The 25,815-nt window shown below is 40.4% G+C and overlaps 1 protein-coding gene and 1 long non-coding RNA gene across 6 annotated transcripts in view, besides 4 other annotated features; one reads left to right on the top strand and one right to left on the bottom strand.

The window, feature by feature from the left end:
• MYOCD-AS1 (MYOCD antisense RNA 1) overlaps positions 1 to 21,279 on the top strand; it is a 34,274-nt gene extending 12,995 nt beyond the window's left edge. Inside the window, exon 3 of the long non-coding RNA NR_104605.1 lies at positions 20,950 to 21,279. This is a non-coding gene — a long non-coding RNA (MYOCD antisense RNA 1). The remainder of the gene's footprint in view (positions 1 to 20,949) is intronic.
• Positions 1 to 25,815, bottom strand: part of MYOCD (myocardin) — a 103,060-nt gene that overhangs the window by 75,809 nt on the left and 1,436 nt on the right. The gene's annotated exons all lie outside the window — the stretch shown is intronic.
• Positions 1,515 to 1,684: an enhancer, noted in NCBI's record as "experimental_46971 CRE fragment used in MPRA reporter constructs". NCBI's record gives its function as "activates a minimal promoter by MPRAs in K562 erythroleukemia cells, with activity observed for both the introgressed and non-introgressed 17:12594859 variant alleles {active_cell/tissue: K562}" and the evidence as "EXISTENCE:reporter gene assay evidence [ECO:0000049][PMID:34662402]".
• Positions 3,999 to 4,499: an enhancer, noted in NCBI's record as "H3K27ac hESC enhancer chr17:12591959-12592459 (GRCh37/hg19 assembly coordinates)". NCBI's record gives its function as "activates a minimal SCP1, AML or CMV promoter by ChIP-STARR-seq in naive H9 embryonic stem cells {active_cell/tissue: H9 hESC(naive)}" and the evidence as "EXISTENCE:reporter gene assay evidence [ECO:0000049][PMID:30033119]".
• Positions 4,147 to 4,316: an enhancer, noted in NCBI's record as "experimental_46969 CRE fragment used in MPRA reporter constructs". NCBI's record gives its function as "activates a minimal promoter by MPRAs in K562 erythroleukemia cells, with activity observed for both the introgressed and non-introgressed 17:12592227 variant alleles {active_cell/tissue: K562}" and the evidence as "EXISTENCE:reporter gene assay evidence [ECO:0000049][PMID:34662402]".
• Positions 4,500 to 5,000: an enhancer, noted in NCBI's record as "H3K27ac hESC enhancer chr17:12591458-12591958 (GRCh37/hg19 assembly coordinates)". NCBI's record gives its function as "activates a minimal SCP1, AML or CMV promoter by ChIP-STARR-seq in naive H9 embryonic stem cells {active_cell/tissue: H9 hESC(naive)}" and the evidence as "EXISTENCE:reporter gene assay evidence [ECO:0000049][PMID:30033119]".

The raw sequence follows: 25,815 nt of genomic DNA, 5'->3' as shown, positions 1-25,815 counted from the left end.
GAAGCCTATTGAGTCAGAGAAGCAGCCCACTGTTTAATAATTATTTAAAAATGCATAGAAACTTGTGGGTCAAGTATAGTGGAGAACCAGGACTAGATTCCACGCTTGTAGCTCGGGGCTGGAACTAGGTTCCAACTCAAGAATGGGAGCTATACTATCTCTGCACAACACGGGAGCTGCGACCAGAGAGTGCAGAGTTTAGAAAGTGATAAACTCACTAATGCCTTCCCAATAATCCTGTGAAGTTGTTAACTATTATTTGTTGTTAATATTAAGGTTATTGCTATGTACAGATAGGTGGGCCAGGGCTCTTGGAAATTGAGGGTTAGGAAGCTTGGCAGAGTTCACTCACCTGTGCCTGGGAGAGAAAGCAGAGGCACTCAGAAGAGGGAGAACCAGGTGCGGCTGTATAGGTCTCCTTAGAGTTTCAGGTTGAAGAGGAGGGAAATATCAGGATTGAAGGACATTGTGACATTTTGCTTATTACTTAGACAGTCACCTCTGCCACATGCCCGCTGCTGGTGGGCAGGCCTTTCTTGATGTCAAAGAGAAGCAACAGGATGGGGCAAGGACATTGGGAACGGAAAACATAGATTTAACTTTGAGTCTGCCAAGCGTCATAATCCTCAATGTCCAAGAGCCCCAGCCTTCTGTATAGATAGCATCTGTATATAGCTGTAATCTCAATATTAACAACAAATAATAGTTAACAACTTCAGGATTATTGGGACGGCATTAATGAGCTTACCACTTTCTAAACTCTACAAGGTTATCAAAGACCTTTATGCATTGTATCGATAATGGCTGCTTCACAAGAAAGCCCACCTATTTTCTGGATGGCAGAATCTAAAGAAGAAAAGGGAGCTTTAGGTTGCGATGCGAATGCAAGCATATACCTTTTAAAAAGTCATTACTGCCTGAAACATTGGCTGTGCCCAGGAGTGATGGTCCCTTAGAAGAGGTTATGCCATTTACATGAAGGGAAAACTGAAGGCACAGGAGTAACACATCACATCGAGTGAGATGGAAAAGGCACAAAATGAGGTGAATAGAAGAAGCTGAGTCATTAATTCACTACAGGTCAGTTCTTTCCTATTCCTTTCTTTTATTCCTTTTCCCTCTCTCTCTCATGCTGATAATTCCTAGTAAGAAAGTTGAAAGGGGCTGATTATTAACAGAATTGAAAAGTGCCAGTCTTGGGGACTGAAGTGTTTTACATAAATCATCTATTGAAATCTCCCAATAGTCCTTGAGGAGTGTGTATTATTATCCCCTGGTCATAGCTCCTAAGATATAAAAGCTCATCCAAGGCCATAGAGTTATAAACTTAGGCAGGCAAATTTCCAACCATGATTTTGGACTCTAAACTTTTATCTCATGAGTGTAAGTTCCAAATGGAACTATTAATATTTGGATGAGAAAACAGTAACTTTAGTCATATTATACCTTGTGTTTTAATGTATTTCTTCCATTTGGTGCGAGGGTGAAGGGCATGTCTTTTTAAATGAAGAATCAGAAGCCATTAGAACATGAGGCACGTTTCATGCTACCTGCCCCCTAGTAACTCAACATAAGGGATGCTCAGCTCAGAATCACTGTCCATAGTGTCTCCATGGCAACAGTCAGGTAGGGTACCGTTTTCTTTCTGAAGCCAACAGGCAGCTGGGTGACTGTTCCGACCAACACAGGTGATGGCCCCGACCAAGTCTCCAATTAGAATGAGGCTCCTGAATGATCCCAGACTCTGATGGCATCACATGGAGACGTTGCCATGGTTTTGATGACAAGTATTGCTTTTCTGAGGATTGCAAAACACTTTATGTTCCAACCCCATGCTCGCTCATTCTTCACAGAGTGGAAAATGTGTCTCCTTGGCTGAAATGTTCCTCTTGAGTCCAGCCCAAAGATGACATTTTTAGGAAAGTTTGAGAAGAATCCTGTGGCTGTTACTGAGTCACGATAGAGTAGAAATGGATCTTTTCTATTTAAAGAGTTTTGAGCTACTGTTTGAAAATGTGACATTGCTAGGGAACGGTGAAAATGGAAAACTTTCCATTCGCTATCAACAAAGAAAGGTCATTACCGAATGTGCAACAATAGAGCTAAGAACTTCTGCCACCTGTCTACAAAGGGATTAGGAAGTTGTTGGGAGTTAAATTTAAGAATATTAGTGAATATGCTTGGGGCTTTAAAAAGGGATTGCTCATCTGGAATTATACACACGTAATTCTAGTTCCCATTCTGCTACTAAATAGCTATTGCTTTTGACAGCTCCCAGAGCCTTGCTGGATCTCAGTCTCAATATTAATTGAAGAAAGAGTTTACATTAGATTTGATCAGGATTTCCCCAATTTACCTGATATAAAAACCACCTAGGGGGGCTTGATAAACACAAATTTCCCTCGTCCCCTTCCTGGAGACTATAGTCTAGTATGTCCGAGGTAGACTGGGAATACATTTTCACAAACATTCCAGGAAATTCTGAGAAAAGAAGTATGTTTGAGAAATCGAAATAAGCAAATATGCTACATGCAAAAATGAGACCATTTTTTATACTATTTTGTGCCTTGCTTTTCCATTTTTTTCAATATGTTCTTACTTTTTATGTGGGTTTGTATATATGAACTCTCATTCTCTATGGCCACATAATATTTCATTATGCTTCAATATCTATTTAATCCCTTTTTCCTGTAAACTTAATTTTCTTTCCTTCATTAAAGATGAGCCATTTTGTACTCTTACCAGGACTATGGGAGTGTCTTAACTTCACTACGACCTTATTAACAATGGATGATGCTACTGAAGAAGAAGAAAAAAGCTTTGCTAATTTGATAAGTAACAATGGTATCTCATTATATTTTTTAATGAGTCAAACATGTTTTCTTAGATTTTTTTACTATTAGTATCTTTTCTTTTGCAAACTGTCTGATAACATTCTTTGACAGATTTTCCACTGGGATTTTTTTTTCCTTATAGACTTAGGAGATCTATTTATATTTGAAGTACATTAAACATAGTCAGTCATCTATGTTGTGAATTTCCATTGGTTTTTTTAGTTTGCCTTTCAATCTTGTGATGATTTTTGGCATTTAACATCTCTATATGCAATCCCTTAGAATATTCTTTTATGATTTCTATCTTTGATGTATACTTAGACCTTCTCCATCTCCAGATTATGTATCACTGAAATGTCCTTATATATTTATGTTTTGGTTTTTACATTTGCATTTAACTTTTCAGTGCATCTGGAATTAATTTTAGTGTATAGTGTTACAAAAGGCTCTAATTATTTTTTTCAAAAAAACTTTTTGAGACTGAGTCTCGCTCTGTCACCCAGGCTGGAGTGCAGTGGTGTGATCTCGGCCCACTGCAACCTTTGCCTCCCAGGTTCAAGCGATTCTCCTGCCTCAGCCTCCTGAGTAGCTGGGATTACAGTTGCCTGCCATCATGCCCAGCTAATTTTTGTATTTTAGTAGAGACGGGGTTTCACCATGTTGGCCAGGCTGGTCTTGACCTTCTGACCTCAAGTGATCCGCCTGCCTTGGCCTCCCAAAGTGCTGGGATTACAGGTGTGACCCACTGTGCCTGGCCTCAAATTGTTAATTAGTTGTTCTAATATCATTCATTTCTATATCAAATGGATTTTAGATATATTGTTTGTCATATAATATATGCTTACATAACATCAAATCTGTCTCTACTTTTTCTTTACATCCTGACCTAAATATTTTGTTTTGTTTGGTGTCAGACTAGGTTTATATCTGACAAAATATATACTTTATAGGGTGTGGGAGTCTAAGTCCCCAAATCAAGGCTTCAGGATTCTTTCCAAGAAGTTACAAGATTTCAAGAGACCAAAAATTATACCTACACCAGCAACAGAAGCAATATATGAGATTATGATAGCAGTGCTATATATTCCTGTAAATGTTTATATGCAGCAGGTAGGAAAAGTTTCATCTGATTAAATCGGAGTGTGAGTCAATTCTAAATGTACTGAGGATTTTAGGGAAGAAGGGAGCAGACAAAAGAAGAGAAAGCAAGGATAAGGGAAAGGGTAGAAAGAAGAAGAAATAGAAAAGATAACGGGAATAGGAAAACAAAGTTTATTTTTTAATTTTAAGAACAACGTGTTTGTGTGTGTGCACATGGGTGTGAATATCTATTCCACTGACAACTAATTAATTCACATTAGTTAATGTGATGTGAAAATGAAAGATGTGTTAAACCGGGGGTACACTAGGTCTTGCTCCAGGAGGGAAACAAGAAATAGGCCAAGTGTCCTAGCAGAACTCTGATTTGTAAGGCAATACTTTTGCCCACATCATGGGCTGCCACCCAGGGCCCAAGAAGGAAAGGATCCTGAAGAAAGAAAGAAGGAAGGAAGGAAGCAAGGAAGGAAGGAGAGAGAGGAAGGAGATGGAAGAAAAAAAGGAAGGAAGGGAGGAAGGAAGGAAGGAAGAAAGGAATGAATGAAGGGGATGGAAGGAAGAAGATGGAAGGAAGAAGACGGAAAGAAGGAAGGAGAGGGAAGGAAGGAAGGAGATGGAAGGAAGGAGGGACGGAGATGGAAGGAAGGAAGGAAGGAAGAAGATGGAAGGAAGGAAGGAAGAAGATGGAAGGGAGGAGATGGAAGGAAAAAAGGAGATGGAAGGAAGGAAGGAAGAAGATGGAAGGAAGGAAGGAAGGAGATGGAAGGAAGGAAAGGAAGGAAAAAACTAAACATTTTTTTACATAAACGATTTGCTGTAAGAATTTCACAATGAATCTGGCTATCTGCTCAACTGTTTAGATAATTTGGAAGCCACAAATAGTGGCCCAGGATCATTCCTATAAGCGATCTGTTCTGCTCTAATAAGCAGGGTTATTGCCCATCCATGCTTCAGTTCAGGTTGTACTGACAAAACTGGGGGATCAGCTGAAACCCAGAAGTCTGCTGTTGACAATCAAGGTGGAGAACAGCTGCCTTTTCCTCCACTGGGTGTAGGAGACTTTCCAATGCTTTCAGCAACACTGTTGTCCTAAACCAATAACACTAGGTATCTTAGTGCATCTCAACTCTTTGGCAATTGTTAGTTCTTGTCCATTTTTCATCCAGTATACAACATGGGCCCATGAAGTTTTATTATCCAAAGAATCAGAGAGAAGTTACTGGAATCTGTGTGTTAATCTTCTGTTTCATCCAACCAAATAAATCATCCTTGCTAAAAGCATCATCCTTACCCATTTCTTCTCCTACGTTGCCATGGATACACTGCTTCCTTAACACCATCGTATTATTCAAATGTGATTGATTTTCTTTCTACCTCCTCTCCACTCGACTATTTGGTTTTTGTCTACCCAACTACTCCATTTATCTTAAGTAAATTCCCCCTAGCCTTGCTTGACCTATTTGTGCCCCCTACTTGCTGCAACCTCTTCAGCGCCAAAGAATGGTCGTATTTTCTAAAAGAACACCAGAATACATGGTTTGACCAGATAATTTTTTCGAACATAAATTAATTTATATTTAAACTTTTAACAAAATGATAAAATGGTTTCTGTTTATTATATACTTAATAAGTTATCATTTGGGGAAAGAAGAAAATATACATTTATTTCAAAAGAGTGATCAATAAAACAAAAATAAAAGATGAGGAGTCACTGTACCAGCCATACATCCCTCACCCACAAAGCCATCTTCCTCTATTTCTTCTAAATAGTCCACGAATTCTAGTCCCTCTAGGAATGGCTCTGCCTTGCCTATGTGGGAAGGTGAAAATAACTCCCCAGATTTTACTGAGTAAACCCACATGTCTTTTTCTAGCAACACATCAAAATAATAATAATGCAAGAAATTCATCTCTCTGGGCTCCAGACTCTTTACTCATGAAGGGAAGGACTCGGTTAGAAATAGGTGGTTTCAAATTTTTTTTAAAACATATTACTGAAAGTGTAGTGTTTTTTAGCTAAAAATCTTACACGGAAAGAAAAAAAAATAGCATGGAGGTGAACAACAAAAGCGAAACCTCTCACAAAATGTTAAAACTCTATGTTTTAAAATCATCGGTTTGCATGGTCCCCTAAACACCTTCCAACTTCGGTGTGCTATTTTTATGATTTGGTTCTAAAAATCTCAAACCTCCTAAGAGACACTGCTTGGGAATAGATGAACGATTTTATTCAGGAGCAAAGAGCGGATGTAGATTACAGTGCCATTACACCAACATGGCTCTTTCTCCCAACCCATCTGGGTCCTTCGAAGCTTTCTTGCAGGATACTGAAGGCTCCAGAGCACTGGAAAGCTCTCAAATCCAGGAGAGAGCCAGCTCCCTTGGCAACAGCAGCAGAGGGAACCCTTCCCTTTCCATCAGCAGATGGTGGTGGGCTTTCACCACTTCTGCAGCACCTTTTCTTACAATGGACTCTTGGCCACTGTTAGACTCTTCTGTACCCTGCCTAGCAACCAGTGCCCTTGGCAACTACAAGAGCTATCATTTCATCAGACCCATGATGCTGCTTGTACTCCCATGCCTCTAGACTGTGTCCATGTTTTGCAGATACGATAAGCCCTGTGTCTAAATGGAAACCTTCTTTATAACTTGAGTGTTGTACAGTTAGATGCCAAATTCCAGAATTTTGTGAAAAATCAAAGTGTCTTAAAAAGAAAACTGGGCCTACATTCAATTTCTGCTTTGCACACAGGTGAAATGCCTACAAGTGTTGACTAGAAGTTCATTCAAATTTCTCTCTGCCCTGATATATTGGCAGGATGTCTTGCAAGTCACATAAGAGCCTGGGAGAAGAGCCCTTGTTCCTCCCACTAAATAGCCATATGACTTTGGCTGAGACACCTCTGCAGCTTCAGTTTCCTCCTCTGTAAAGCAAGAGAGATGAGCTGATGATGTCAAAGGCTCCTTGGAGGGCTAACATTTCATGCCACTTGGCTTCATTTTTGACCAAGGTCTGTTTTTGTAAGTCTCCAAATTCAGGGCTCTGAGATTCCTCTTAATCTCAAGTTTTTCCCATGAGATTACAATATTTCTTGTAAGAGTTCTTAATGTTATGTTCAAAGGACAGGAAAACGCTGCAAGATTGTAAAGCATATCTCACCAAGGGATCTAAGAGGTTAAGGGTGAAATGCAGGGTACCAAAGTGACCCTTTAGAGGGAAATGTCAACTAGAACAGCTATTACTTCTATGGTGACTCCAGAAGGCTTTGGGATCACCAGGCCAGCCTGGTGCTCATGCATTCGTGTGTGTATCTACAAATTCAAGTTCTCAAATAGTATTGAACAATTCCTTGCTATTTGTTGAGGTCCCTCTAGACACCAGGAATTATACAAAGCAATTTAAGGCATATATACTCTGATGGAGAAAAGATACACACGCTTGAGTTAACTAAAGTGTTAGGCAACATGTTATTAAATAATCCATATATGTAGAAGGCTACTAAGGGCAGAAGAACTGAACCTTCAACTTTTCAAGTGAGAAATTTATGGTTAAGATGCTAAAGGGTATTCTTGACCAATAAAATAACTTTTTTTTTTTTTTTTTAAGCCAGTCTCAATCTGTCTCCCAGGCTTGGAGTGCAGTGGCATGATCTTGGCTCACCGCAACCTCCGCCTCCTGGGTTCAAGTGATTCTCCTGCCGCAGCCTCCCGAGTAGCTGGGACTACAGGCATGCACCACCACACCCGGCTAATCTTCTGTATTTTTAGTACAGATGGGGTTTCACCCTGTTGTCCAGGCTGGTCTTGAACTCCTGACCTCAAGTGATCCACCTGCCTTGGCCTCCCAAATTGCTGGGATTACAGGCGTGAGCCACTGTGCCCAGCCCCTCTGCAGTTTTTGTTGTTGTTGAGACAGGGTCTTACGCTGTCACCCAGGCTGGAGTGCAGTAGTGTGATCTTGGCTCACTGCCAACCTCTCTCTCCTCGGTTTAAACATTTCTTGTGCCTTGGCCTCCTGAGTAGCTGGGATTACAGGCATGTGCCACCATGCCTGGCTAATATTTTTTCTACTTTTAGTAGAGATGGGGTTTCACCATGTTAGCCAGGCTAGTCTCGAACTCCTGACCTCAAGTTATCCACCTGATTCGGTCTTCCAAAGTGCTGGGATTACAGGCATGAGCCGCTATGCCTGGCCCAAAATGAATAAAATCTTAAATCTCAAATAAACATGGCACTTCCTACCCAGGGCTGGCTTCATAAGTGTATAACTTGTGCTGTGAAAGAGCCCTATTTTTAGAAGGACCCTGTGCTTGGTTTAATGAGGTGCTATCACCATTGCGAAATTCTTTTTTTTTTTTTTTTTGAGACGAATTCTCACTCTATTTCCCCAGCTGGAGTGCAGTGGCGTGATCTCAGCTCACCGCAACCCCCACCTCCCAGGTTCAAGCGATTCTCCTGCCTCAGCCTCCCGAGTAGCTGGGACTACAGGCATGTGCCACCATGCCTGGATAATTTTTGTATGTTTTAGTAGACACGGGGTTTCACTATGTTGGCCAGGCTAATCTTGCACTCCTGACCTTGTGATCCACCCACCTTGGCCTCCCAAAGTGCTGGGATTACAGGCATGAGCCACTGCACCCGGTCACCATTGTGAAATTCTTAATCATTGTTGAACAATGGACCCTGCACTGTCATTTTGCACAGGGCTCCACAAAATATGTAGTGTTCCCCTGGACATTGCCTTGTTCAAGGAAAAGGTTCCTATTTGGGAGTGGTAAGGGATAACACTGTAACAGGAGTTAGGAATTCAGAAAAAGAGGGCCATGGATGCTACGTTCCACTTTCTCCTGTAGAAAGAGGGCTACACCGGCATGTTTTTGAGCAGCAAAGTAACTCAGTAACATTGACATTTTAGGAGGACTCATCTGATGCTCAGACGATGGGAAGAGACAGGGTTGGTTTGGAGACTCTCATCATGATCCATGGATAAGGAAGAAAGTCCACTTGGGAATAAATAAAAGAGGGCAAATTTGAGAAACAAGTGGAAAAAAAAGAATTGCTATGTCTTGATAATAAATTCATGAAAAATGGAGAGAGAGAGAGAGAATGAGAGAAAGAGAGAGATGTGAATTAGACTTACTTATATGACACACTCTTTGATCAGACTTTTGAAAACAACAAAAGCACTATTACTATGATTATTGGTAGCCAAATTGGTAGGGCTGCCAGGAGCCTTTGAAGTAATGTCTTCATCTGGGAATTTGCCAGTAAGGTGAACATGCTAACATCATTCATTTGTCCATTCATTCATTTCATTCATTCAATATTTACTGATCACCTACTGTACGTCCAAACACTGTCTTAGACATGAGGGATCCAGCTGTGAATAAAACTGTCACAAGTTCTGCCTATGGAAAGTTTACAGCCTAGAGAGGGGGAAAGATGTTAAACAAATAATTACAATTTGGGGAGTGTCATGCCAGGAGCTTCATGTAGTTTGGGAATTAGGGAAGCTTGTCTGGCCTTTTCTCCCAGGAAACTCAAACAAATAAATAAAAGGAGTTGTCAGGCCCACAGCATTTAATTTGCCTCCTTCCAGTTCTACTTAACAACAGCTTGTATGTGTATGTGTATGTGTGTGTATCTGTGTATGTGTGAGTAATTTTCATTCCCGAAAGACTTGACAGGCCTGATAAGAAAGAGAGAATGAGAGACAGAGAGAAGGAGCGGGAGAGAGAGAGAGCGCGCGCGCACGAGAGAAAGCGACAGAGGAAGACAGAGACAGGTACTGACAGTAAAGTTGTTGGTGACAGTGACAAATGAAAGAAAGGAGGGGAAGCCGGTGATGCCTCCCTTTTATTCTCTTCTGAAACGGTTTTCCACTGGGTTTAATAGGAAATGCTTTTCTCCTCTGCCATCCGCATGGTTTTTGTCTCTCTTCCTAGTCCTAGTTTTTGTTCTGAGGATGGGCATCCCTCAAGCCAGACTGAACTTTTCCCTAGGAATTTTGGAAATGGGACTGGAAGAGAAAATTCAATAGCAGTCGGAGGTGGCCATTTTCACCCACATGAATTGGGAAACAAAGCCAGTCAATATTGCGGGAGAAGATGGAGCACAGAAGACGGCCAGAAGAGTAGCCTGAGAGTGTTCAAATCCCCAATTCCAGCTTATTTCCACCCAAGTCGCTAATACAGTCCTGTCGTTCAGTTTGATGAGATACCCCAGTATGTTTATAATAAGTGTTCCTTTTTGCTTAAGCTTGTTCAGGGTTTCTAGTGTTTGATTCTCTATTATTTGCAAACAAAGAGGTTCCATATGATAATTGTTGAAGAGGGGCATCCCGTGGTGGCAGAAAGCTATCAGCACAACCAGGTAAAGCTTTGAGATCTACTTTTAAATCCTGTTCTACCAATCAAAGACTTCTGGGTATGTGGATGCAGGTGTTTGTAAAAGTGAGCAAAACGTACACTTCTGACAGAATGCACATGGCAGTTATCATACTTAGGACCTGGGTTAAGAAGTGTTGAACAGCAGCTTGGATGGCTATTTATGATGCATCCTCTCCATATGGTGCCAGGTCAAGATCACAAACCCTGGATACAACAGAGCATGAGCCCCCTGAAAACTCTCTCCGCGAAAAGGGCAGTGGTACCTGTTTATAATTTAGTCTTTTACCTTCCCTTTTCTGTTGAATCCTACCCTAGGTTTAGCTGGACGCATCCTTATATGTAATCTTTGACCTTGACATTATTGCCTTCAAGGACACTACCAGGCATAGGTCTTTGGGAAAGCTATTGGCTGATGAATGGATAACTTCCTAGAAAGTAACAAGCAGGACCACCATCAGAGGCTTCTGGTCTCCTCCAGAGCTGGAAGCTGATACTGTGTGGCACACATCATATGTACAACTCTCCTCTGCTCTTCCTGTGCATGGTTCACCCACCAAATTCTTTCCTTTGCCTGGCATTATCTGACTCTAGGACAAAGCCACCGTTCCCCACCAGTGGCCCGTGTCATCTGTGGGTCTGACATGTTCCTCTTTGGGGTACAGAAGCATCGAATTTCCCGGTAAAGAGAAGAGGGTGGCTGACAGAATGCTTGGAGAAGGTGAAATGAGAGACCTGGTTATCTGCGTCGGTCTTGCCCTAATCCTGGCCACATTTCCCAAACAAGGCTGAGAGCCAGGGATGATTTTTGTGTGGAGTGCTAATGCCTGAGCTCAATTTGCTCCTTGCCTTCTGATTCCAGGTACCAATGATAACTGTTCCCTAGCCAAATGTTGCCCTGCATGCTGTTATCTGTTGTATTCACTGACCAAGAATAACATAGGCCTGACTGTCTGCTCATCTACTGCAGGGAGTACTCAGAGAGGACGAGGTGAAAATGATGATCAGGTCACTGAGGTAGCCCTCGATGGTCTCAAGGAACAAGGTGAGCTCTGAGGGGTGCTGGGCTGGCCTGGCCTCAGTGACTCTTACAGGAGAGCACTCAAGCAGCGGGGGCTGAGACCAGGTACACACTGTTCTTTCTTCATCCTAAGGGATGTCCCGGCTCTGCTTCCTTTAGGGAGATTAAGAGATATGAATTCAGGCCAGCATCTAGTGCTGGGCATTTGGCGAGTCAAAACCAAGAGAATACTGAAAGCCAAAAGGCTCGGTCTCAGAATTACCATGCAGTGATTTCAATGATTGAGCCTCACGCATGGGCTCAAGTTGTTTTAGAAAGATGTCTGTTCACACGAACACTGCGAAGCTATTCTTTCCCTAAGCACCACACTCTCAGTTTGTCAAAACATTTGAAGAAGACTAATTCATGCCTCAAAAGGAATTCTCTCTCACTCACAAAGCTGCCAGGTTTGTGAGCTTGAGGCTTTCATGTTAAAATAACTCAAGACACTAGAGGAATAGGGAAGAAAAACCTCAAGTGGAAATGCCTTACGATGTCACTAAGAGGGCAGAATCCACAATTCACATGCTCACCGGGAGGATGGGGTGGCAAAGTCAGATGGCTCAAGCCAGCTCTGACTGGTTCGGATACTTGTGCGAAGCAGTACAGGGTAGCAGTCACAAGCATGGACTTAGAATCCAAAGGTGCATGAGATCAAGTCCCAGCTTTTCCATTTACAAGGCATGGGATTTTGAGATAGCTCCTTCAGCGCTGGAGGCTTGGTTTCTTCTTCTATGGATGGGAGGACTGTAACAACAGTACCTCCTTACAGGATTGCTGTAAGGATTAAATTAGTTAGCACACGCAGCAGGCATGTGAGCATCAGATAGTTCTTGGGGTGCTCTATTGGGGTGTAGGGAACCTCATCAAAACCCTCTCCAAGTCAGGGAGGACTGGGAAGCAGCTGACAACACTGTCACTACAAGTGTTCAACTAGCACGGCTGTTCAGCCGCGGGGAACTTTTCCTTCCATCACAAACAGGTCCCTGAAGTACAGAACAGAAACTCGGCAACTGACATAAACAATTTCAAACAATAATTTCAGAAGACAAATTGCTCCATTTGGGCACCAAGATTCCTCTCTGAGGCTTTCCCCACTTGTTTATGTATTCTGTGGCACAGAGCCATGAGTGAATTAAGCAGACAGCGCGCACACACGCCCGGGGCCGGTGGGAGGGGCCTCCGGGAAAAGGACCTGCCATTTGACCTGCGTTCCTTGAAAGCTATTGCTGCAGAGATGCCTGAGACAAAGGGACTCAGATTTACGCCTTCTTGTGTTCGCTTGTTCATCGAGAGAGGCCACAAGATTGGGTGCCAGGAGATCTGAGTTCAAGTGCTTCACCATGCTGTATGTGTAAATTCGGGCAGGTCATTCCCGTTTCTATACCTTAGTTTCCCATCCCTGTAAGACAGACGTCATTATACTCACCTCTAGGGTAATTATAGTGGTCAAATTAAGAGCCCTTTATCCCTAATAAATTACCATACGAAGATTAATGAGGTTAACCGTGGGCATCCACTAAGTAGCTGAATAAAAATTAGATATAAAGGAGAATTAGAGTTTGGAAGAAAGGGTGTATTTTATGAGGCAAAGAAGTTCTTCTAAAATTAAGAGGAGAGTCTTCATTCCATGGGGCTGTGGTTCTTGAATACAGGTTTACGTTCTTTTGAGAGCCTAAGTGAAGCTTGTGATATATACTATTCTATTATAGCATTTAAAGCATGTATTGCCTTTTCTGACTATAAAACAAGTGCGTGTTCATTATAGAAAATTTGAAAAATGTATAAAAGTTTCAGGATGAAAGGCAAAATTAATAGGAATTCAAGTCTGCAGAGATAAGCAGCACCTGCTAATACTTTGCCTTTTTTCTTCTGATTCATATACCTGAACATGGATATAAAAAGGTACCTACCCTACAATTTCTCAAGAATTGGGACTATATCATATGCAATTCTGAAACCTCCTTCTTGCATTGTAAACATCTTTGCATCTCATGATCCTCTGAAAACACGATATTTAAAGTGCATGTTAAATCCCATTTTTTATGTATTTAAATATTTTCTTTTTGTTAACCAACTCCAGTTTTTCCCTCGGTGTTACTGTAGCACATATACCACTGCAAAGAGCATCCTCAAAGATAATCTTTACCTCTCTCATACTATATATATGTTATATATCATATACAAACATATGCATATACATATATATAAATGTAGGTATATTAACCATTCTTTAAATGTTAGAAAATAATCCTGGCTCTACTGTTAGACACAAGGTTTTGAAACAACCAAACATGATGCTTGAGAATACTTTCTGTCTCTGGGACATTCTGTAGTGTCATGCTCTAATCTATGTGTTAAGAACACAATCCTTTGTGAAGGCTGCATTTCTACTAAGCCAGGGATTCCTTTGCTATCCCTATGCCTCATTCTGTCCTCCTCTCCCAGCCAATCCTGAGTTACATTTGCTGAATTTCCATCTCCCCTTCTCATCTAATTCTTTCAATCTTGAAGCCAGTGCAGATGGCTACCATGTTAAAATAAAAAATTAAATTAAAAAAAAAGCTTTAAGCAGACGGACTGTTAGGTTGAGAGAGGAAATAGGTTAAATGCCAGGCATCTGCCTATCTGAAAAGACCATGTTCCCTTGGGCTGCGCATTTCTCTGGGGGACCATGTGGTAAATTTGGTTTTGCAAGCCCCGAGACGAGAGTTCTAGGTCTGAATCTGCTGGGTGACCTTGAGCCAATTTCTTAATGTTTCTGGAAACTCAGTAACCTCATCTGTACAATCAAACTTGTAATCTCACAGAATTGGTAGAAAAATATCACGAGGTCAGGAGATTGAGACCATCCCGGCTAACACACTGAAACCCCATCTCTACTAAAAAAATACAAAAAATTAGCCAGGTGTGGTGGCAGGTGCCTACAGTCCCAGCTACTTCAGAGGCTGAGGCAGGAGAATGCCATGAACTCGGAAGGTGGAGCTTGCAGTGAGCCGAGATCGCGCCACTGCACTCCAGCCTGGGTGACAGAGTGAGACTCCATCTCAAATAATAATAATAAATAATAATAAGAAGAAAACAAAAAAATAAAAATATTAATGAATATGATCTTTTTTGGTGGGGGAGAGAGTTGAATACATCAAAGAAATAAGAGGTGCTATAATTTGGCAGACTGCCTCCAGCTGTCTATCCTCAAAACTTTGTTTTCTCTCTCTCTCTCTCTTTGGTTTTATATTTAGACAGAACAGCATTCTCAATTATAAGAGAAGAGGATCTGGGCTCAGCCATGAGCCTTTGCTGGTCCTCATAGCATGTAATGATCTTGCTGAGACCCAGACAAGGCTTGGCACTGTCTTCAGAGGCATCAAAAGACCAGATCCAGAATAAAAACCACACCTCACCGGAGAATAAGTTTAATTATTATGCCTTTTCAGTTTTTTTTTTTTGAAAGGAAAAGAATAAGTGATGATAGATATATAAAACACTTTGCAAAATACAATATAAGTTATATAATGACAATAATTATCTTCATAACTCTCAAGCACAATCTGGGGTAAAAAGAAATGATAGGCTGGGCGCGGTGGCTCACACCTGTAATCCCAGCACTTTGGGAGGCTGAGGCGGGCAAATCACGAGGTCAGGAGATCGAGACCATCCAGGCCAACATGGTGAAACCCCATCTCTACTAAAAATACAAAAATTAGCTGGGCGTGGTGGTGCACGCCTGCAGTCCCAGCTACTCGAGAGGCTGAGGCAGGAGAATCGCTAGAACCTGGGAGGCGGAGGTTGCAGTGAGCCAAGATGTTGCCACTGCACTCCAGCCTGGGGACAGAGTGAGACTCCACCTCAAAAAAAAAAAAAAACAAAAAAGAAAGAGAAATGATAATAGCTGGGCAGTGAATCTTAAGAGAAATTCATGAGAGGCTGGTCATTGTGAATTTAGAATCAATATGATATCTTATAATAACATAAATAATTGTAAATTAACATATCAAAGCATATTGATATAAACATTGATATGAGAATTAATATACACTTTTTTTTTTTTGAGACAGAGTCTCACTCTGTCGCCCAGGCTGGAGTACAGTGGCGTGATCTCGGCTCACTGCAAGCTCAGCCTCCTGGGTTCACACCATTCTCCTGCCTCAGCTTCCCTAGTAGCTGGGACTACAGGTGCCCGCCACCATGCCCGGCTAATTTTTTGTATTTTTAGTAGAGATGGGGTTTCACTGTGTTAGCCAGGTTGGTCTCGATCTCCTGACCTCGTGATCCGCCCATCTTGGCCTCCCAAAGTGCTGGGATTACAGGCGTGAGCCACTGTGCCCGGCCTATAAGTTTTTTTTTAATTTTTAAGTTTAGGGGCACATGTGCAGGATGTGCAGGTTTGTTACCCAGGTAAACGCGTGTCATGGGGGTTTGTTGTACAGATTATTTCATCACTCAGGTATTAAGCCTAATACCCATTAGTTATTTTTCCTGATCCACTCCCTCCTCCCATCCTCCACCCTCCGACAGGCCCCAGTATGTGTTGCTCCCCTCTATGGGTCCATGTGTTCTCATCACTGAGCTCCCACTTGTAAGTGAGAACATGTGGTATCTGGTTTTCTGTTCTTGCATTAGTTTGCTAAAGATAATGGCCTCCAGCTCCAACCATGTCCCTGCAAAGGACATGATCTCGTTCTTTTTTATGGCTGCATAGTGTGAATTAAAGTATAATTAATATTCATGTGTGAATAAGATAGCTACCATTTATTGAGTACATCAGCACATCCCTGCACTATGTCAAGCACTTTTTATATGCTTTTCCACTAAAACCTCAAAAATTTCCAATGAAGGAGGCATTCTTGTTTCCACATTTACACATAGAAAAGTAGAGGGTTGAGAGCTTAAAAGCATGCACTCGAGTTCATATCATACAATCAATAAGGATGGAGGCCAGGATTTGAAGCCAAGTCAGCCAGATGGCATACCTATACCACATATACATTGAGATTTTCCAACAAAAATTAATAGCAGAGTTGTGGGTTTTCAGTCTCTTAGCTAAGAAGCAAGTTTCATTGGTTGTATTTTGAGTTGTGAGCATGACCCAGGATTAATGAGAATTTGAGAACAACTTAAACCTCCCATGGCCTCAGCCAACTCCTGATTTAGCTGCTATGCAAATATGGTATTGTTAACCCACTCCCCATCACTCCATATCTTAAAAAAAAAGGCAAATAATACTCAGTATAGGAGATACTGGATAATTGTAATCAAGAATATAAGAAAGAACATAAGAAAATTTAAAAATTACTGATAATCTCACCACCCAGAGCTAATCATTTTGGGAATGGATCCCTCCAGGCTTTTTTCCATGCATGTGCTTTAGCACTTTTGGTATGTTTTGATTCTCAACTTGTTGGGATTAAAGTTTTTTAACTTTTAAAAGAAATTTCTTTTTTTACTGTCTTATGGTCAAGACATTTCTGTGTGTGTGTGTGTGTGTGTGTGTGTGTGTGTGTGTGTGTGTGTGTGCGTGCGCGCGCAGGGGGAGGGTGCTAAGTCTAAAATTGTATTCTATATCAAGTAAGAGGATTAAAATATGTAATCAAATTTTATTTAGTGTCCACGTCCTCTAAATCTTCACTTAAATCTTTGCCTACTTTATTAAAGACTTACAGATACGTTTTTTTTTCCCCACCACTATTAGGATGTCAATTTCTTCTTATGTTTTAGGCGTATTTAAAAATTATGTAGATACGAATACAGTTTTATTTTAAAAGATGCAAATGGTAAAGGAAAGATAAGGTCTTGCTCTCTGTACCCATGGATACCATAATGAACAGTTCTACTTATATCTTTGAAACTTCTTTTTTCTGTGTACTTATATATAAATATGATTGATTGATTGATTGATTGATTGAGACGGAGTCTTGCTCTGTCACCCAGGCTGGAGTGCAGTGGCGTGATCTCGTCTCACTGCAACCTCCGCCTCCTGGGTTCAAGCGATTCTCCTGCCTCAGCCTTCCAGGTAGCTGGGACTACAGGCTTGCGCCACCAGTGCCAGGCTAATTTTTTGTATTTTTAGTAGGGACGGGTTTTCACCCTGTTAGCCAGGATGGTCTCGATCCCCTGACCTCGTGATCCACCCATCTCGGCCTCCCAAATTGCTGGGATTACAGGTGTGAGCCACCGTGCCTGGCCAATACTTTTTAAAAAACATAAATGAAAATATGTTGCCGGATTGTTTTATAACCTGAATTTTAAAAAATTAATTCTACGTTTTGGAGATCTTTTCACATCAGTTCATATAGAATTTTATCATTTCTTTTTGCTTTGCATTGTGTTTTATTGTATTCTATACTGTGAATATATTGTAATTTAATGAATCGTTCCCTTACAGATGATGTTTATGCTGTTTCCATCTTTTTTAGGTTAGGCATTATAAACTGTGATAAAATTGTATCTGTTAAGACTTTACAGTATGGATAGCTCACCAACACGATAGGTGTATCTATGTCTTCATGCCTATTCAATACTCGATATTATCAACATTTTAAAATTTTGCTAATTTGAAGTTTTTAAAAAATAGTATCTAGATCTTTCACTTTGCATTTTCTTGAACGCTAGTGAGTTGAGTATATTTCATATGCTGACTGATTATTTTCTCCCTTGAATTGTCTTTCCCTTAGGTTGTTTGCTTTAAATCTTATTGTTCATATAAGTCCTTTTAATAATTTTGTCTCACGTATATTTTCAAGTATTTTTTTCAATCTACAGTTTGATTTTAAATTTATTTTGATGATTTTTTAATGTGGAGTTTTAAAGTGTTTAAGTGACCAAATATGTCCATTTTTATTTCTAACCTGGCCATGGCCATAAGCTTGGGAAGGCTTGTCCTACACTGAGATGAAAAGATTATTCTCCTCTGTTTTCTTCAAATATTTTATAGGTTTCCTTAGCTCTTTAATCCATACGGAATTTATTTTAAGGTATATCATAAAATATCTCAATTTACTTATTTCCAAAGAGATAGTCAATTTTCTCAACAAACCCATTACATATTTTATTGTAGATAAACAGTGGACAGCCACTGTTATCAGAGGTTAAATCTATGCGTATATACATAAGTGTATATATGTGTATGCATGCACATATACACAATTCTCATCCACTGATAATAATTGTCTGTTTTACTTCTGGTACTAACTCCTAGATATTTCTTATATAACTATGTTTAATGTCTTAGAGCAAATCTCTTCTTCTTGTTGCCTTTCAAAAATTTCTTAATTTTTTTTTCTCAAATAAACTGAAGTTTAAAAAGTCAAGTTTTATTAAAACCCCTGGGACTTTGTAGGAATGGCATGTGTAATTTATAGGTTAAGTACTAGAAACAACTAGTTTGATAAATCACTATTTAGGAAATCAAGGACGATAGCAGTAATTGGATATATGCCTGGAGTTGTAGCCCAGAAAGAGGCACATTAAATCTACTGGGTCAGGTATGTGTGTATGGTTATGCGGTGGGGCAGGGAAAGAAGGAAAGGAGCTGCAGGTTATAATAGAGATAATCATCATGGGACAGTGGAACAAATACGTTCATACCTGGCCTCCAAGTTGTCTAACATCTTTGAGCCTCAGCTTCTTCATCTCTAAGATAGGAATAATCACATTTTTGTAAGGATTAAATGAGATGATAAAGGTGCCCACAGATAATAGGTTCAGTAACTCCTAGTCCTCTTCTCTTCCCTTTTGATGAGGCATGAGTCATATTTGGTAACACGTGGTCCCTAAATAGCAGACCACATGGAAGTTTCCAAAGGCATTAGGCAACTGTTACTCATTTTCCTTTTCAATCTCTACTGAAAAGGTATGAAAGGCTCATCAGATACCAGCCACCATTGGGTAAGTACCCAAGGTTACTCTGAGTTAGTTGTACAGTAGGGACAAGCATTCATCGCCAAATAGAAATAGGCCTAAAGTTAAGTTTGTTACATTGTAAGTGCTCCAAAAACACTAGCCATCATTACAGCTCATAAATATTCAAATCCATTATTCCCACACTTAGGCATTTACTCTAAATAATGAGTAGCCTACAAAACAATCCAAAGGGAGGAAAATATTTTCTTTCTTTACATGAAGGATTTCACAGTAGTGTTATGCATACAGATTTTCATAGTAGTGTTATTTATAATATAAAGATTATAACTGGCTTAATTTTCCAATACAAGTGGAAAAGGTTTAGTAAATTACTATATACTCACTTGGGGGAATATTATACAGTCTTTAAAGCAAAAACTATGTTGCTATGTAGCCGCTTGAAAAATATTTATGCTATTATACTAACGATAAAAAGGCTGAGTATAAACTTATGTATATACTCTGATTATCACGTTGTAAAAATCTTTATGCAACTGGACCAGGACAGAAAGAGAACACAAATGACAAAAAATATAATGTATTGAGGAGAACTATTGAACTATTGTTCAATTAATGTTGAACAGCATTTTCTGGATTTAACTTTTTTGAAATCATTTTTTAGAAGCTCCAGACAGGGCAGTAAGTCTCAAATAAATAACAGAAAGTTCCTTGTGGAACTTTACCTAGGACTGAAAAACCAGCCCAACCAGTCAGCAGAAAACAAGATTGGCTTCCTAAGGAGAGTGTTTCCGGAAATAGAAAAGGCAGAATAGTTTATGGGGTATTTTCTAGTCATTTCACATCATCTGTGAAATGAGGATATTGCCTGGAGTTATTTGACCATATTTTATGAGAAACAACTAATTTGATGCTTTCGTACCACTTAAGAGGCCAAGGGGAAGGAGATACAAGTTGAGAAGGGAAAACTTACTCAATGCAGTAGTTCAAACTGAGGTGTCAGAAGGGATTGCTGATAAAGACATACTAAGTATTTGAGGGTCTGTGTATCCATTAATCATTGCTGCACAAACCAAGTGAGAGCTAGGAGAACCCAATACATACATCTCACAATATTACAGTGGCTTAATTCACTTTGAATTCAATTTCTTCTCTAGTGATCTAAAGTAGCTGAATACAGCAAACATCCATGAGTCAGAGGGATTGTACTCATAAGAGAAGTACCCCAATAGTGAAAAGAAAGAACTTATCTTCCCTCACCAGCAGGAGAAAAGAAAGACATTATTCTCCCTTCATTTTGCTATGCTCTGGAAAAACAAAAGTCACAAAACAGTTTTATTTATTCTAAATTTCTGGGGATAAATGATACATTTTATTTTAACAAAAATTGGACACCTCTTTCTGTTTTATCTAAGAATAATGATCCAAATCTCGTTACGTAAAGCTTGACAGCTTGACTTACTAGCTATTCTGAAACATATAAGCATTATCTGCCTAATAAAATAGAAATTCAAAGTACTAACGTCGTAAGGCTGCAAAACTATTATTGGGCTAATGGTCATGGTTGTTGTTATTAATCCTATTTGTGTTCATCGAAAACTTTTAACTACTCCACGCATAAGCAAGAACTCTTATGCAACTCACATGCCACCAGATCCAGTTATCCATTTCCACACAGTGAATAAAGGTTCACTAATTTCCTTCTTTTCAGAAAGAAACCCTTAATAATTCTACAAAGATCTTTCCCTCATAGAAGTATGAGGATGTGAAGACCATGAGTCATTTTACCAATATGGAAACAGAGGCCCAGAGAGCCCTGGGAATATAAACATATTCCCAAGACCACGGAGTCCCAGATGGGCTCCCACTGTGACTTGGCCCACAGGACAGAAGGAATGGAACCAGGAAAGCAGAGACCTGTGAAATGCACCTGCTGGCTCCTCCCCCTTGATCTGGACAGAGATGTGGGGTACCTGTTCACCATTCATTAGATGCTCGGGAAGCCTTGCTAATTAGATGAAAATAAAGGAAATGAAAAGCAGCCTGTTCTAGCATCTCCTATTCAGGTTTGGCTTTTTTGAAGCATGTAAAATTCTAACCCTGGGTGGAGTATTTTGCTTCTGCCCTGCACTTCTGTTATTCTTCAATTTAATCCAATTAGAGTAGAGCACATTCAATCTGGTTCAAGCCAACTTGACACAATCTTGCTAACTGTTTCTGTCACATGCTGTAGCAGATAAAAGACAAATGCCACTCTTCCTGGTCTTAAAGAATTTATATGTTTTTAAAAAAGTATCCTGGGTACACAGAATTGAATTAATCACAATCCTTGGTTCATGACACTGTCACACTATCGTCATTGAGCCATAGATGACCTTTGTTTAATTAATTTGCTTAATAACACATGGACACAACTACTGCCTAACCTAAGAACAATAGGGATAACCTGCTTCTTACCTTTCGGCTACACCCCTACCTCCTTATTTAGCCTCTCCCACTGTGCTATGACTTTGACTTTTGTATTTATAGTCACTCCTCTCCTTTTTGTTCTAGTTTTAGTACACACAAACGCACATCTAACAATAAACCTATATTGCTTGTTTTTGATGTTTTTGAATAGACTTTAGAGGAAGAATAAAACCTATTTATTCAACATATATTTAATGGGTTCCTTCTCTGTGCCAAGCATAGATGATATGAAATGACTGGAAAATACCCTATAAACTATGTTAGGTGCTAGAGAATAAAGACAGTAAAAACCAAACACGAATAAACAAGTAATAATTTCTGCCGTTATGGACAAATAATAAGCAAATAAACAAGTAAAAGGTTTAGTCTGTCCAATAGTGATAAGAGCTATGAATAAAACTAGGGCAGGGAAGGTGGGGGTTGGGGTTCTTGCTATAGTGATTAAGATGGTGAGGGAAGGGCATGGGAGCTGTGAGTGAATCGAATACAGCTGGACTTGAGGAGACAGGAATGGTCTCAAGCAGGTGGCTTGAGCCAGACCCCAAATGTTCCTTTAACTTTTACATTCCATGTAGAAATTAAAATATGTTCATTTTTTAAGGTCCATTAAATTGTATTCTCATATGTAATGCTTTGATCAAGCATTTACAAAAATATTTAGGGCCATTCCCTTGGAAAAGTATTGAATCTTAGGGCTAAAAGCAACTTGAAATAGAAACCAGTCAAAACCCTCTATTTTGTAGAAAGTAAAAATGAGATCTAAAAAGGTGAATTAAATTATATGTACATACATAAATATTACATATCATGGGAAAGGTACTCTTGTAGGTTAAATTATTTGTTCTAAACTAGAAAACTAATTGCCAATGAAGGTAGATAGTCTGGGCTTCTCTCGAGCTCATGGTGAAAATGTCTTCAGTACTGTCCATTATGATAAAAATCTTGGGGACCGACTTCTTAGGCTAAGCTCAATTCCTGAGAGAGAAAATTCAGTGCCAGAGATGTTGAGGATTTAGCTTAAAGTAGGAATCAGTCGTCCTTTTAGGTTGTCTGAAGGATGGAGAATAGAGAAACGACAGAGAGAGATGACTGCAGGGTCTTGCTGAGATGTCCCTTGCCCTCTCTGAAAGGACAAGCAACCAATTACAGGCACCAGGGGCCTGATCCTGCATCTATTGGAGTAGAAGAACACAGTGGGGTGGGTCCCACTACCTGAATTCAGCCACAGCCTCTTGAGTACCTGCTTTGCATGTTCTTTGCCTTCTTTTAACTACAGCTCCAACCTCTGGAGCCTCTGCTGCTTGAGCACCGGCCTGCCTGCTGAGCTTATCTTCCTCCTTGCCAGACGACCAGAGACCAGAGGTGAAGCTCCCATGTTCTTCCTCACCCATAAGCTGGCTGTACTCTGGGGGACCTAGGGTTCATTCTCATGGTACCCCCACCCCATCTGGAGTTTTCTGCTTTCATGCCTAAAGTACAAGTTTTGCATTTTGGGGAGTCCTTGGGGACCCAGAGAATCTCAAGAGCTTGATAGGATATTGGATGGGGCAGCAGAAAGTGTTGATCAAAAACCACTCGGATTGGTCAAGAGATCGAGACCATCCTGGCCAACATGGTGAAACCCTGTCTCTACTAAAAATACAAAAAATTAGCCGGGCGTGGTAGCGGGCACCTGTAGTCCCAGCTACTCAGGAGGCTGAGGCAGGAGAATGGCGTGAACCCCAGAGGCGGAGCTTGCAGTGAGCCGAGATCGTGACACTGCACTCCAGCCTGGGCAACAGAGCGAGACTCCGTCTCAGAAAAAAAAAACAACAAAAAACACTCAGATTGTAGGTAGGGTTGCCAAAAAGAATAACAGGGCCTAGTGAAATTTGGATTTCAGAGAAAAGTATGTCCCAAGTACTGCTATATAGTGAAAAAGTAATCACTATTGCTTGGAAATTCACATTGAACTGAGCATTCTGTATTTTTATTTGCTAAACTGAACAAGGTTATATTTGTGGGGGTGGGGTCAAGTTCATGGCAATTGCCAGACTTTGCCTCTGTTTGCGCGGTTTAAGATGGGGAAGTGGGAAAGAGAGAGAGAGAAGCAAAAGAAACACAATGATTCTTTAGAAGCAACATCCATTCATGGATCTCTCTCTCCACTTTTGATCCTTTATGTCTGAGGGCTGTGTGTGCCTGTGTGTGGCACACATACGTACCTCCCTGTGTGTTTTGTAGGACACAAGGATTGATATGGAGGAGAACTGTTGATAGTGACACTGATTAGATATTGAATAAACAACATGAGAAGATTAAAAACTGTAAAAATGTGATTAGTTTAAAATCAGCACAAATTACTACATTCATGTAAAACTGCCTCTCCTTCACACACAATTGCCACACAGCACAATCACAGTTACACTTGTTCCCAGTCAATCTTTATGTGTTTTCAGAGAATGATAAAATGTTACCAAAGGGGTCTAAGACATTGCCTAATCCAACCTCAACATTTACCGATTAAATAACTGAGACAGAGAAACTGACCAACCGCCGGTCCCACTGCACATCAATATTAATAATAGAAAAATGTTTTGTAAGAGCCTTCTAAGGCCTGGGCATTTTCGAAGTTCTCTACTTCACATTTAATTCTCACAATGACCCTATAGTCATCCTCTTTATTCAGGTGAGGCAAGTTGAGGCACAGAGAATTATGTAATTTACCTAACGCTCAGGGTCATGTAGCTAGTAAGCAGAGACCACTATGAAAAACCCAGCTAGTCTGGCCCCCGAGACCCACGCACTCAACCAGGACACCCTTTGGCTTCTCAAATGAGTTTATATCACTAAACATGTTCATACATGTAAACTTTCAGAGCTTACTGCTGCTGTAGCACAATTTTGTCCTTAATCACGAGGTCACTCAAATACAGCTTATAGAAAGTTGGTCGGCCATGGTTGACATCGATGATGATTTCAGAGTAAAAGCAGTTATCTGCTCACCTATAAATAAACCCCGTCACAGTGGGTCTGTTGCTGTAATCAGAGAATGGTTCTGTTGCATTTATTTTTTGAAATATGTTTAATGGAATACATAATACCACGATCTACTATCAAAGCAAATATTCGCAGTGAGATAGAAACAGTTTTATGAGTTTACTGTTTGAGTTGCTTTTGAAAGAGAAGGAGGAGAAGAAGATGATGAAAGAGAAGGGAAAACAGTGAAAGAGAGAGAGAGAAATCAAAATAAAGTCAAGGCCCTTATTCACTGTTGGTGACAAAATAAAAGACATTCTCTTAAAGAGAGGCCCTCTTGTTAGCATGCTGCGACCTCAGTGCTGGCACAGCCATAGTAGTAATTACATCCAGAAAGAATAACCTCCATTCAAACATTACATTTTCTAAGTTTTACATTCCACTTGTTTTTTTTCTCTTGTCTGTCAAGAGACTATCAATGTTTGCATCTCAGACTCCAGATTCCCTGTTTATCAATGACGGGAGGATTAAGGATGCCTGCTTCTGCTGTGATATCATGTTTTCCCGAAGCTACCTTTCCTTATGACACAAAAGCCTGCACAACTTTAAAAAAAGTGAGGCTGGAATTCTCTGAAGCTCCAGGATCAGGGTCTTCAGGGTCTACTTAGGAGACACCAGGACTCCACAAATCCACTGAGATGGAAGTTGGGAGTGTGGCAAAAACTGACTTCCCTCTCCACTGCACTTTAGCTGAAGGAGGGATTGATAAGCGTTTTGCAAGTCTACTATCAAGTACATCACCAGATCCTTTTAGAGACAAACCAGCACCCCCAGACCCTCCACATTTAAACTGGCAAGGAAGCATTTGAAATGAATGCAGCCTCATAGAAAACAAATCTACATCCTCTCTTCTTCAGAAAGGTGGCAGTGTTGCCTTACAGTTTTGACCGAATACAACGCAGTGGTGAGGTCTCTAGCTGGTTAACAGATCAACCGCCTCACCTCACCATGGAAAGGAAAGGAAGGACTTAATCCACTGCCGACCCCAGTGGCTGGCGGACTCATCCCAGAGCTTCAGGGGCAGTGAGACTTGTGACCGCCTAAGCTCTTGAGTTTTCAACTTGCATCAACAATGAAGATCCTAAGAAAA

Source organism: Homo sapiens, chromosome 17 (genome assembly GCF_000001405.40).
Source record: "Homo sapiens chromosome 17, GRCh38.p14 Primary Assembly".
NCBI classification, from domain to species: Eukaryota; Metazoa; Chordata; class Mammalia; order Primates; family Hominidae; genus Homo; species Homo sapiens.
This window is presented reverse-complemented; position numbering and strand designations above follow the sequence as displayed.